Here is a 12018-nt window from a genome sequence, read left to right as displayed (position 1 = left end):
ATCCCAGCACTTTGTGAGGCCGAGGTGGGTGGATCGCCTGAGCTTAGGAGTTCGAGACCAGTCTGGCCAACATGGCGAAACCCCGTCTCTACTAAAAATACAAAAATTAGCCAGACATGGTGCTGCACGCCTATAATCCCAGCTACTCGGGAGGCTGAGGCAGGAGAATAGCTTGAACCTGGGAGACAGGGGCTGCAGTGAGCCAAGATCGGCCCACTGCACTCCAGCCTGGGCTACAGAGCAAGACTCTGTCTCAAAAAAAAAAAAAAAAAAAAAAAAAAAAAAAAGAAAGAAAGAAAAGAGAACTTTTTACTATATCTTTTTAAATTGTCTTTAAAATGTTTCTTTGTATAATAATAAGGTGTTATTTATTTTTTAAAAAACTCTTAAATTAGAAAAATATTTTTAAAGGTATGTATCCTGTTCACATTGGAATAAGCGTTCAGAGTATATAAAACAAAGATCTTTGTCATTGTTATCGTTGAAGTTTTTGAAAATTTTTCTTTCTCACTTTATAATCTTGTTTTCTCTTAGACTGAAATGAAGAAAACGGAATGACCCAGCATGAGTGATACAAACGGTGGGTGGTTTTACATGCGTTTTTTTTTTTTTTTTTGGAAGTAATCAAATAATTCAGTATTTTACTCCAAGAAAATTTCCCCGGGGCAGAGGAGGACAAAAATCACAAAAGCCTCCAACCGTAACGTACCTCTGTCACTGTAAGGTGCCTATAGCCCCTTTGTTTTACGGGTAGGATGTGGGTATGCCTTGGAGGCAGCGGAAAGAAACGTCCCCGTTCAAATTAACCGCTGTCGAGTAAGCGAGGGCGCACCAAATTCACAGATCCGTTTTCTCGGGGCAAAGTTAAGCCTGGAGAAACACACAGGTACACGTTTAGATCGATGTCTGGGTTACTATCCATTCTGGTGATAAAAGCCACAGAGAATACTTGGCCAGTACGGGGATCGAACCCGCGACCTTGGCGTTATTAGCACCACGCTCTAACCAACTGAGCTAACCGGCCGGATGACAGGATGCCTTACTTCCACATTATAAGCTACTATCAAACGGCATGCTTTGTGGAAATTTATCTTCGAATAGATAATCACATTCATTCTGTTTCCCAGTTTTCCTTCACCCGGGCTGGGAGTGGCGGAGCTCCACATTGAACACCAAAGAACCCTGCTTCTTACGGGGAAACAGTTTTTCTTAACCTGCTAATTCTGATCCGAGAAGATTCAAGTCAACGTTTCCAATCGGGGCTTCCTTCCTCCTGCCTGGGGCGAATCCGAAGTTGCATCCAAGCTTGAGATCTCGGCCAGCGGATCGGGGAACCGTTGGACCACGGAGCTGTCTCAAGGATGAAAGGACGCGGCTCCCGAGTGATGGTTGCAGAGTCCTCTCTGTTCTTGGAGACCCTTCCAGACAGGTCGGCTCTTCTCGAAGCCTTCGGGATCCGGAAACTGCACCCTCTCCCCGCCTAGCCTCGGGTGGTTCCTCTGTCACTACGACCCTGAAGTCTCAGCGGCGCTTCCCAGGCCTGTGGCTCCGGGCTCAAGAAAGTCACACACTTGCCGCTGCAGTTCCCGTCCCAGGACAGCTAGTGGCGCTCGGGCGCGGACTGCGGTTCGCTGAGACAAAAGGACGGTGGGGACAGCCTCTCTTGAGCATCTGCCCTCACCTCCTCCCTGGACAGAACCAAACCCCCAAAACAATAATAGGGATTACGGAGCCAGCGTGTTTACGAAGTAAGGGCCATTATTTGCGGGGGAGAGAAATCCTATGATCTGAAAAGGGAGGAGGAGGCGAGGCCCGGATTCGACAACTCAGAGGAAGCAGGCGTGAAACATTTGCCCCTGAGAGGTGCCCCGCTTCCAGACGGAGCCTGATGCTCTTGCTGGCAGGTGACAACCCAGGAAGGGGCCACTGGAGCAGCTAATTCATGATTTACTGTCTGTTTTTTGACAAGTTTCTACTTTCCCCCTCTTCCTACCACGACTGTTTCTGTTAGTTAAGGGTAGTAATATTTTCAAAAGTTAATTGGCCTATGTACATTTTAAATGCCCTCCTTATGCCCTCCCCCTCTATTTAGACGTATATGCATACACTTATTTATATATATAAATTGTAAAGTCTTATCTTGGATATGCACTATTAGTATATGTGTTTAATGCTTTATATTCATGTCTTCGCCTTAGAAATGAGAATCATATCCTTTGACTAGACAAATTTGCCATTTATTTTCTAACTTTACATTTCAACTCTTTGAATATGAAAAATTAAAATTAGTTTAACATCATAAATAATAAATCACATTTTCGTGTCCTTCAGCTCCTTTCACTAAAGTTGCACTTTTTTTTTTTTTTTTTTTTTTTTTTTTGAGACGGAGTCTCGCTCTGTCGCCCAGGCTGAAGTGCGGTGGTGCGATCTTGGCCCACTGCAAGCTCCGCCTCCCAGGTTCACGCCATTCTCCTGCCTCAGCCTCCGGAGTAGCTGGGACTACAGGCGCCCGCCACCATGCCCGGCTAATTTTTTGTATTTTTAGTACAGACTGGGTTTCACCGTGTTTGTCAGGATGGTTTCGATTTCCTGACCTCGTGATCCACCCTTCTCGGCCTCCCAAAGTGCTGGGATTACAGGCGTGAGCCACCGTGCCCGGCCCTATTTTATTTTTGTTTATTTAATTAATTTATTTTTTGACAGAGTGTCGCTCTGTTGCCCAGGCTAGATTGCAGTGGTGTGATCTTGGCTCACTGCAAACTCCGCCTCCCGGGTCAAGCGATTTTCGTTCCTCAGCCTCCCGAGTAGCTAGGATTACAAGTGCGAGCCGCCACGCCAGGCTAATTTTTGTATTTTTAGTAGAGACAGTGTTTCATGTTGGCCAGGCTGGTCTTGAACTCCTGATCTCAAGTGATCCGCCCGCCTCGGCCTCCCAAAGTGCCGCGATTACAGGCGTGAGCCACCGTGCCCGGCCTGTACATCTTTTTAATCAACTAGTAGATGTCTTCGTTTGTTTTGTTCTGTAGTGAAAATGCTCAAAGTTTGTGGCACAGATTATTATTATCATTGTTGTTTTACTAGGACACTTGTTATGGTAAATGATTCCTGAAAGACTGGGCCACATTTAGACTTACTTTGACCTCAAGAGACCACCGTAGGCATCAGTCACTTGCTTTTTGTCATCGGTCAGTTCCCTAGGAAACAGACACTGAGATGGCGATTTGTGTGCGGGAAGTTCATTGGGGACGCTCTCAAAATCAGCATCTGTGAGAGGGTGAGGTGAGCAGGACTGAGAAAAGACAGAAGCTGAATTCAATACAGGCGCAACATACGTCCAGCCCATCTCACAGGTGTATATAAATCTGGAATGGTCCTTCACAAATGTCCTTAATTATAGTGGGGAGGCGGGAAGGGCAGACCTATATATTCCTCCATCAACAGTCATGGGATTTGAGCTGCTCCAGTGGTGGGGTGTGACTTGGAGCAAGTGACTTCCCTTCCACTGAAGGTAGGTTCCAGAGTCGGACCCAGACATGAGCCATCAGTAGTTAATATTCCTGTAGTTGAGGAATGAGTGCCACCACCTGGGCGTGGGGGGCCCGGGTGGTGAATCTACACTTGATCTTAGCCAAACGGCCGAGAAGCGATAGGAGGGGGGGATCTGATAGATGCACCACATATCCTCATAGTTCTTTTCCTACAGCAACCACGTGTCAGACATGTGCTAATCTTCCACCAATAACCCCTGCTTCTCCACACTAACAGAGAAGAGAACAGGTGTGGTTAAAACAAAATGACGGTTAATAAAGAGTCAATTCATTTTTCCTTTGAGGTTCAGCAAAAGTCCCTACCTGGCCACCAGAGCCTATAGTGAGTCTAGCGGTATCCATGTTGGAACAACTTTTCTTTTCTTTTATTTTTTTCTTTTTCTTTCTTTTTTTTTTTTTTTTTAGACAGAGTCTCGCTCTTGTCGCCCAGCCTGGAGTGGGAGTGCAGTGGCATGATCTCGGCTCACTGCAACCTCCACCTCCCAGGTTCAAGCGATTCTCTTGCCTCAGCCTCCTGAGTAGCTGGGATTACAGGCGCCCGCCACCACGCCGGCAAATTTTTGTACTTTTAGTAGAGACGGGGTTTCGCCATGTTGGCCAGTCTGTTCTGGAACTCCTGACCTCAGGTGATCCGCCCGCCTCAGCCTCCCAAAATGCTCGGATTACAGGTGTGAGCCACCGCGCCGGGCCGGGACAACTTTTCAAGGGGAAATAGTCATTTCAATCCAGCCTATGAATTAATCCTTTCAAAATAAAATTATTTGGTTTTCACTGAGACCTGAATGTCTATTTTTGTTGTGAAGTCACCTAACAAACTAGTTGCTGGGATTGTTGCAAATTACGGAAGTGTGAAATAGTTTTCAAGTAGTATACGATCGAGGGCTTTCTCGGCTGTGGCTCCGTGGCTTAGCTGGTTAAAGCGCCTGTCTAGTAAACAGGAGATCCTGGGTTCGAATCCCAGCGGGGCCTTGATTTCTGTACCTTACACATTTTGTAATTTCACCCGGTGCAACTGAATTTACACCCAATAAATGCTGTAATACTCAGGCTTTTAAAAGCCTTGCTAGAAAACAGGAGGTACATTAGGCGAGAAGCGGGAAATGCCAACAGTTTCATGGCAAGCATTCCTAATTCATGATAACTTTAAGACACAATATTTGTCCTATTGTAAGGCTAGGTAGCCTAGCATAGCTGAGGTTTGCTCCTTTGTCCTACCGTTCGAGAGCAAGTGATGCAGATTCAACAGCTTTAGAAATAGGCCCTTTTGGCCGGGCGAGGTGGCTGTCGCCTTTAATCCCAGCACTTTGGGAGGCCGAGGCTTGCGGATCACCTGAGGTCAGGAGTTCCAGACCACCCTAGCCAATATGGCAAAACCCCGCCTCTACTAAAAATACAACAGTTAGCCGGGCTTGGTGGCAGGCCCCTATAATCCCAGCCACTCCGGAGATTGAGGCAGGAGAATCGCTTGAACCCGGGAGGCGAAGCTTGCAGTGTGACGAGATGGCGCCACTGCACTCCAGGTTGGGCGACAGAGAGACCCCGTTTCAAAAAAACAGACAAAAAAAAAACCCTGAACGCAACTGGAATACAGATGGCACTCAAAAACTTTTTTACAATAGACCACTAATGGCTTTTCTAATTTTTTTTTTGAGACGGGAGTTTGGTTCTTGTTGCCCAGGCTGGAGTGCAACGGCGCCATCTCGGCTCGCCGCAACCTCCGCCTCCCGGGTTCAAGCGATTCTCCTGCCTCAGCCTCCTGAGTAGCTAGGATTACAGGCATGCGCCACCACGCCTGGCTAATTTTGGGGTTTCTCCATGTTGGTCAGGCTAGTCTCGAACTCCCAACCTCGGTTGATCTGCCCACCTCGGGCTTCCAAAGTGCTGGGATTACAGGCGTGAGCCACCGCGCCCGGCCTTAAACTTTAAATTGATTACTGTAATAGCTATTCTTCCTCTTTGAATGATTCTGGACTTAGGATATCACCACAGTTTCTGAAAAGAAGAGACTGTGATATCATCTTAAAGAATTATTCATGACAAAACTGATAAACTATTAACAATAGACTAGAGGCGAATGAAAAATGCATTTTAATATCTGAAGGCTTTTCTAGGCAGATTTTCACATAAAAGATCTGAGAAAAACACCAAACGTAAAGAGTAAGGTGTTTCTGTCTTATCTGCTCTGTTTCTTTGGGTATTCTAAGACTTATCAACTATATGTCAATCTTTACTCACATATACAGGTACATATTCTTTATTCAAAAAGACTTTCCTTCTTCAAGGGCAAAATGCCACTTTTCCTAGGATCCTCAAATGGACAGCTCTGTGTGTGTGTGTGTGTGTGTGTGTGTGTGTGTATGTGTGTGTGTGCTCTTAATGTAAGCCTTGTGTTGGCTTAAGCTAACTATGTGGTTCTTTCTTCTTCACGTCCAGGTGTTAAATCCTGACATTGAGCATAAATAAACTTTACTTTATTTTATTTATTTATTTTTTTGAGACGGAGTCTCACTCTGTACCCCAGGCTGGAATGCAGTGGCGGTCTCGGCTCACTGCAAAATCCGCCTCCCCCATTCAAGCGATTCTCCTGCGTCAGCCTTCCCAATAGCTGGGATTACAGGAGCCCGTCATCACGCCTGGCTAATTTTTGTATTTTTAGTAGAGACGGGGTTTCACCATGTTGGCTAGGCTGGTCTCAAACTCCTAATGTCAGGTGATCCGCCCGTCTCGGCCTCTCAAAGTGCTGGGATTACAGGAGTGAGCCACCGTGCCCGGCGGGGCACTGAATAAACTTCAGTAAATTGATTTGAATATTCCTGAAAAGGTGAAAGGTATGGCATGGCGATGATGGAAAATGTTGGGAAGGAGAAATAGTCTCAGGAGGCATTTCCATCTGGTATCCAACCAGAGAACTTTAAGCGTGTGAGGCGAACGTGTTAACAACTACACTACAGAAAACAACTTCCAAATATTGTTATCCGGCAGACTCAGCACAGATTTTTCTGGAGTCCACTGTTCTTACTGCCTTCTATAGTACTTTCTTCTCTTTGTTAAGACTGTTTAATGCTAACGCTGTGTCCACAATTCCACATAAGCAGCACACCAAACTTAGGAATGTCCAACACTCACAGATTGTTTTAAGTTCCCTGAAACTTGATTAAAATCTAAACCATGATCACACATGAAAAAATCTCAAGAATCTTGCCACTTTTCAGGACTGACATTTACGTCTTGACTGGATTGTGGAGTCAATCATTTTAATTTAGTAGAGACAGGGTGTCACCATGCTGGCCAGGCTGGTCTCCAACTCCTGACCTGAAGTGATCCGCCTGCCTCTGCCTCCCTAAGATTTTTTAAATCTTTGGTTTCAACCATTTTCATATAATTTGAACAGTTATAGTTTTCTTTATGTTTATCTTTGTTGGCATTTGTTGATGGAATTAAATTTGTGAGTTGATGTCATATGTGTTCATTGACTAGTACACCTTAATAAATTTTTTAGAAAACCAAGAAAACAAAACTCTTCACTGGACGACATCTACATGCCAAGAATCAAAGATTAGTCCCCAATCTCTCCAATTTCTCTCATCACATTCAGATTAAAATATATCTTCCCCTCTTTTGGAGACACTTCCTCCCTTCTTCTCTGATCCAGCGCATATAGTCCCATTTAGTCTAATTTCTTTCCAGCCCTGCTTCAAATCCTTGGATTTCCTCCCTAAGATTATGACCACTCCATTCAGTTCCTAATGACAAAAAATCATTTTCTTCGTCTAAGAGCTCCAGAGGGAGCAAAAAAAAAAAAAAAAAAAACAAAACCTATCTACAACCATCATTCTTCTTTTCATTGATCAAGTCTCAGATCTGCCGTCGTTTTCTCCAGGAGGTCTTCCTTGATGGGCACTGGGGCATTTTTTAGTTTTTTGTTTGTTTGTTTTTTTGAGACGGAGTTTGGTTCTTGTTGCCCGGGCTGGAATGCAATGGCGCGATCTAGGCTCACCGCAACCTCCGCCTCCCGGATTCAAGCGATTCTCCTGCCTCAGCCTCCCGAGTAGCTGGGATTACAGGCATGCGCCACCACGCCTGGCTAATTTTTTTTTTTTTTTTCAGTAGAGACGAGGTTTCTCCATGTTGCTCAGGCTGATCTCGAACTCCTGACCTCAGCTGATCCGCCCCTCCTTGGCCTCCCAAAGTGCTGGGATTGCGGGCGCGAGCCACAGCGCCCGGCCCCCAGTTTTTTGACTGTTGTCAACAGGCTACTCTGAACACTCCGAACAATATAGTCGATATATTTGGCGAACGCATTTCTGCTCGTATCTGTCATCGGTATGTGATATTGGTGATTCCAATTAATGGGAAAAGTGAGGGTGAGAACAATACTACAATCGGAAAATTTTCTACAAGGAAAGAACAATTCCAAAATTTCTAAACTTGGGGATCAGGGAATATATACTTCCATGTTTCAAGGTAAGGGAGCAGAAAGAGGGTGTTTCCGTAGTGTAGTGGTTATCACGTTCGCCTAACACGCGAAAGGTCCGCGGTTCGAAACCGGGCGGAAACAGGTAGGCTTATGATATTCTTGGTTGCTGCTTAGTTTCTATTCCTTCTTACGCACGAACCAGTTTGCGGTTCTGGACTTTAAAAATACGCAGTTCTGAGCTCAATTTGTGGTCCAGAAGTCTAAGATGAAAGATTTCTCACGCCACTGACACAGAAGCCCGTGTCACCCCACCTCCTCTCGCCCCAGTAAGTTTCCCATCGCTTTTCCTCCTCTTCTGGGCTTCAGAACCCTAGGAGGTGTCAATCCCAGGAGACGCCCACGGCCCAGGACTCGGCCTACGCAGCTCAGGTGAGACTGGCTTCCTTGGAATTCCATCTTAGATTTCTGGACCACAAATTGAACTCAGAATTGTGTATTTTTAAAGTCCAGAACCGCAAACGGGTTTGTGCGTAAGAGGGAATAGAAACCTAGCAGCAACGAAAAATAATATAAGCCTTTCGCGTGTTAGACAAACGTGACAACCACTACACTACGGAAACCTCGTGTTACTGCGCTTTTACCTTACTAAGTCTGCGGGTTTCCCGCAATTCGAAATTCCGCAGCGGCCGCTACCGAGTGTCAGTTAACGGATAGCAGACCTCTCGGGCAATTATTAGTAGTAGTACTATCGGTACTGTTAGTGCCACACAATATTTCTAAAACCCATCAAGCGTGGACGAGAAGGAAGAGCTGTGAGGAGAGAAGGGTAAAGGAATAAATAAAAATATATTCCTGCCGTCAACGGCCTGGATAATCTGTATTGGACTAGGAGACTTCAATTTTCGTGACCGCCTTTCCCCTCCACGTTTCCACCAGCCGAGAAGATCCTCTGGGACTTGATTCTCAGCGGGGCTTGATCTCAGACATTTCAATTCCAGTGCGTTCCTCCCAGTGGGAATTCGGGGCGCGACTTCGTGCGCACTGGGCCCACTCCCGGCCTTGCTCGCTGCCAGGAGCCTTCTGTACAAACGCGACCTTCTCCCAGGACTCAGCAATGAGCGTTCAGCTCGGTTCGAAATGAGCTCCCAGCAGGCGACCATCCTGAGTGAAGGAAGGGAACCCGACCATTTCTGGAATCAGCGTAGTGTTCACGCCGTTTGCGAGATTTCTCGGAAATAAGAAAGAAAAAGAGGAAAGGGTTAAAAAGTTTAGCGACTTTGTGTGTTTCGTGGCCTATTTTGGTAAAAATCGCGAACTTTAAGACAGGTTTTCTTCTGGGATAGACATACACTCGGAGGGCGTTTCTACTTTCCTAACCTACATTCTGAGAGATTATTTCCTCATTTTGTCTCCTAGTGTTAAACTCAGTTAACACCCTGCCTGCAATAAGTGACTCCCCGCAAGTGGCAAAGACTGGGCTCTCCTGATGGTCGATCGCCAACCCCTACCCCCAGTGCACTAAGAGAACTCTCACGATCATGCTGATACATGAATTCTTTCAAACTTATTGAAAGAAATTTAAATGACTTCCTTAGAGGTTAACTCACACCAGATCTCAGATTCTGGTTGTTTTATTTTTTGAGTCGTAATTTCACTCTTGTTGCCCATGCTGGACTGCAATGGCACGTTCTTGGCTTATTGCAAGCTCCGCCTCTCGGTCCGCCTCTCGGTTTCAAGCGATTCTCTCTGCCTTAGCCTCCCAAGTAGCTGGGATTACAGGAATGTGCCACCACGCCCGACTAATTTTTAGTAGAGACGGGGCTTCACCGTGTTAGGGTGGTCTCGAAATCCTGACCTCAGGTGATCCACCCGCCTCAGCCTCCGAAAGTGCTGGTATTAAAGGCGCGAGCTACCGCGCCCAGCCCTCAGACCCTGGTTAATTTGACAAGGTAAAGGAAAGAGGAGGCAGAAACTAACATTTTAAGAATCTGGGCCGGGCGCGGTGACTTAAGCCTGTAATCCCAGCACTTTGGGAGACCGAGGTGGGCAGATCACCTGTCAGAAGTTCGAACATGGCGAAACCCTGTCTCTACTAAAAATACAAAAATTAGCCTGGCGCGGTTGCTCACGCCTGTAGTCTTAGCACTTTGGGAGGCCGAGGCAGGCTGATCACCTGAGGTCAGAAGTTTGAGACCAGCCTGGCCTGCAGGGCAAAACCCCATCTCTACTAAAAATACAAACAATATCTCGGCGTGGTGGCACACGCCTGCAATCCCAGCTACTTGGGAGGCTGAGGCAGGAGAACCGCTTGAACCCGGGAGGAGGAGTTCGCAGTGAGCCGAGATCACGCCATTGCACTCCAGCCTAGGCAACAAGAGCAAAACTCTGTCTCAAAAAAAACCCCTGATATATATACTACACATTTTAGAGGTGTTATCTTCTATAACACTCCTTATATATAACTTCCTGAAATGCTGTGCGTGTCTAACTTTTAAAATGCTTCTTCATCTGCAAGTCATGGTTTGATGTCTCCTGCAGTCTATGCCTCATACTCCATGAACTCCACGCAATCAGTCTCTTTTTCATGACTGGACTTTTCACCTGAGGTTCCCTCTAGCTGAAAAGCTTTGCGCTTGGCTTTGCCTAGTTAGTTATCTTTACCTCGTGACTGTATCTCAGGGAAACTATTTTTTCTTTAGGAAAGACTTCCTTAAACTACATCAGTGAAAGTCCTGTATTCCTCGTAATACCATGAACTTTGTTCCCTTGCCACCTTTACATTTATGAGCATAATAACTAGATTGATGTCTGTCTCCCTAGAATATAAGCTGCATTTGGACAGGAACAGTGTCTGTTCTTGCTCATCAATGAATCCATACTGCCTTGCGCTCAATGAATACCTTTGAATATAAGACTGAACCCTTACCCTGATTCTCTGAGTAAACTATTATTTTCCTAATTTTAAGTTGAAGCACCGAGGCTTGCAGCGATCATCTGTCTTGCCTAAGTGTGGAGCTAGTATGTGAGTTATGGCTCACACACAGATATTCCTGGCTTTACAGTCTTGCTCATTCCTTAATATACTATTGGATGTGGGTATATTTTTAACAAATCTCCAAAGTTCTGATCTTTGTAATTCCCTATAAACTAATAATGAAAAAGAAATCACTAGAACAATAGTAATAGCTACAATTTATTACCAGCCATTAAATCAAGTATTTAATGATTTTTCATATGTAAACGAACAAAGCAAGCCTAAGGTGTAGGTGCAATTGTTGCTTACAATCATTTCCCTGTCTTATAGATGCAGAAGTTGAGGAGCAGGGACGTTAAATAATGTAAATAACTTCCTCAAGCTCACACAAGTTATAGAACTTGGAACCAATATTTCTATCCATGTGTGTCTGAGGTCAAAGTATTCCTCACAGCCGGGCAAGGTGGCTCATACCTGTAATCCCAGCACTTTGGGAGGCTGAGGCGGACAAATCACGAGGTCAGGAGTTTGAGACCAGCCAGGCCAACATGATGAAACCCCATCTCTACTAAAAATACAAAAAATTAACTGGGCGTAGTGGCAGGCACCTGTGATCCCAGCTACTTGGGAGGCTGAGGCAGGAGAATTGCTTGAACCCAGGAGGCGGAGGTTGCAGTGAGCCTAGATTGTGCCACTGCACTCCAGCTCAGACAACAGAGTGAGACTCTGTCTCAAAAAAAAAAGTATTCCTCACTATTGCAGTTTTCAGGAAAAAGGAAGGTTCTATGAAAAGACACTGGTATTAAGAGGGTGAAACTGAGCATATAATATGAAAATGATTTTTACAATATAGGGAGAGGCAGAAAAAGCTCAATATAGAGACACTCTGAGTATATGGAGAGTTGCCAGAGATAACTCGTACAAATATTATGCTTGTAATTGGTACTACTTCCTGGAGAAAATGGGAAGTGCATATTTCAAAGTAAAAGGAGGACATTTTTCATTTAAGAGAATGGGTATGAACAATGGCCCAGGAAATATTCCCTAATGCAAATTAAATGTATTGCTACCCTTGGATG

The 12018-nt window shown here is 45.3% G+C and overlaps 3 non-coding genes across 3 annotated transcripts, besides 6 other annotated features; 2 read left to right on the top strand and 1 right to left on the bottom strand.

Moving 5' to 3' along the window:
• Window positions 550-1938: a transcriptional cis regulatory region, noted in NCBI's record as "candidate enhancer chr6.1284 targeted for multiplex CRISPR interference". NCBI's record gives its function as "positively regulates ZKSCAN8 gene expression in K562 cells {active_cell/tissue: K562}" and the evidence as "EXISTENCE:mutant phenotype evidence [ECO:0000015][PMID:30612741]".
• Window positions 778-1057: a silencer, noted in NCBI's record as "silent region_17037". NCBI's record gives its function as "represses an Ori minimal core promoter by ATAC-STARR-seq in GM12878 lymphoblastoid cells {active_cell/tissue: GM12878}" and the evidence as "EXISTENCE:reporter gene assay evidence [ECO:0000049][PMID:35858748]".
• TRI-AAT2-1 (tRNA-Ile (anticodon AAT) 2-1) lies at window positions 951-1024 on the bottom strand. Its single transcript has one exon. It is a non-coding gene; the product is annotated as a tRNA-Ile (tRNA).
• Window positions 1218-1297: an enhancer, noted in NCBI's record as "active region_24298". NCBI's record gives its function as "activates an Ori minimal core promoter by ATAC-STARR-seq in GM12878 lymphoblastoid cells {active_cell/tissue: GM12878}" and the evidence as "EXISTENCE:reporter gene assay evidence [ECO:0000049][PMID:35858748]".
• Window positions 4422-4561: a silencer, noted in NCBI's record as "silent region_17036". NCBI's record gives its function as "represses an Ori minimal core promoter by ATAC-STARR-seq in GM12878 lymphoblastoid cells {active_cell/tissue: GM12878}" and the evidence as "EXISTENCE:reporter gene assay evidence [ECO:0000049][PMID:35858748]".
• TRT-AGT2-2 (tRNA-Thr (anticodon AGT) 2-2) lies at window positions 4444-4517 on the top strand. The gene has a single exon. It is a non-coding gene; the product is annotated as a tRNA-Thr (tRNA).
• Window positions 8024-8103: a silencer, noted in NCBI's record as "silent region_17035". NCBI's record gives its function as "represses an Ori minimal core promoter by ATAC-STARR-seq in GM12878 lymphoblastoid cells {active_cell/tissue: GM12878}" and the evidence as "EXISTENCE:reporter gene assay evidence [ECO:0000049][PMID:35858748]".
• TRV-AAC4-1 (tRNA-Val (anticodon AAC) 4-1) lies at window positions 8034-8106 on the top strand. The gene has a single exon. It is a non-coding gene; the product is annotated as a tRNA-Val (tRNA).
• Window positions 10125-10626: an enhancer, noted in NCBI's record as "H3K4me1 hESC enhancer chr6:27646365-27646866 (GRCh37/hg19 assembly coordinates)". NCBI's record gives its function as "activates a minimal SCP1, AML or CMV promoter by ChIP-STARR-seq in primed H9 embryonic stem cells {active_cell/tissue: H9 hESC(primed)}" and the evidence as "EXISTENCE:reporter gene assay evidence [ECO:0000049][PMID:30033119]".

This window comes from Homo sapiens, chromosome 6 (genome assembly GCF_000001405.40).
Source record: "Homo sapiens chromosome 6, GRCh38.p14 Primary Assembly".
Classification (NCBI taxonomy): Eukaryota; Metazoa; Chordata; class Mammalia; order Primates; family Hominidae; genus Homo; species Homo sapiens.
The sequence above is the reverse complement of the archived record's forward strand: the minus strand, read 5'-3'. Positions and strand labels throughout refer to the sequence as shown.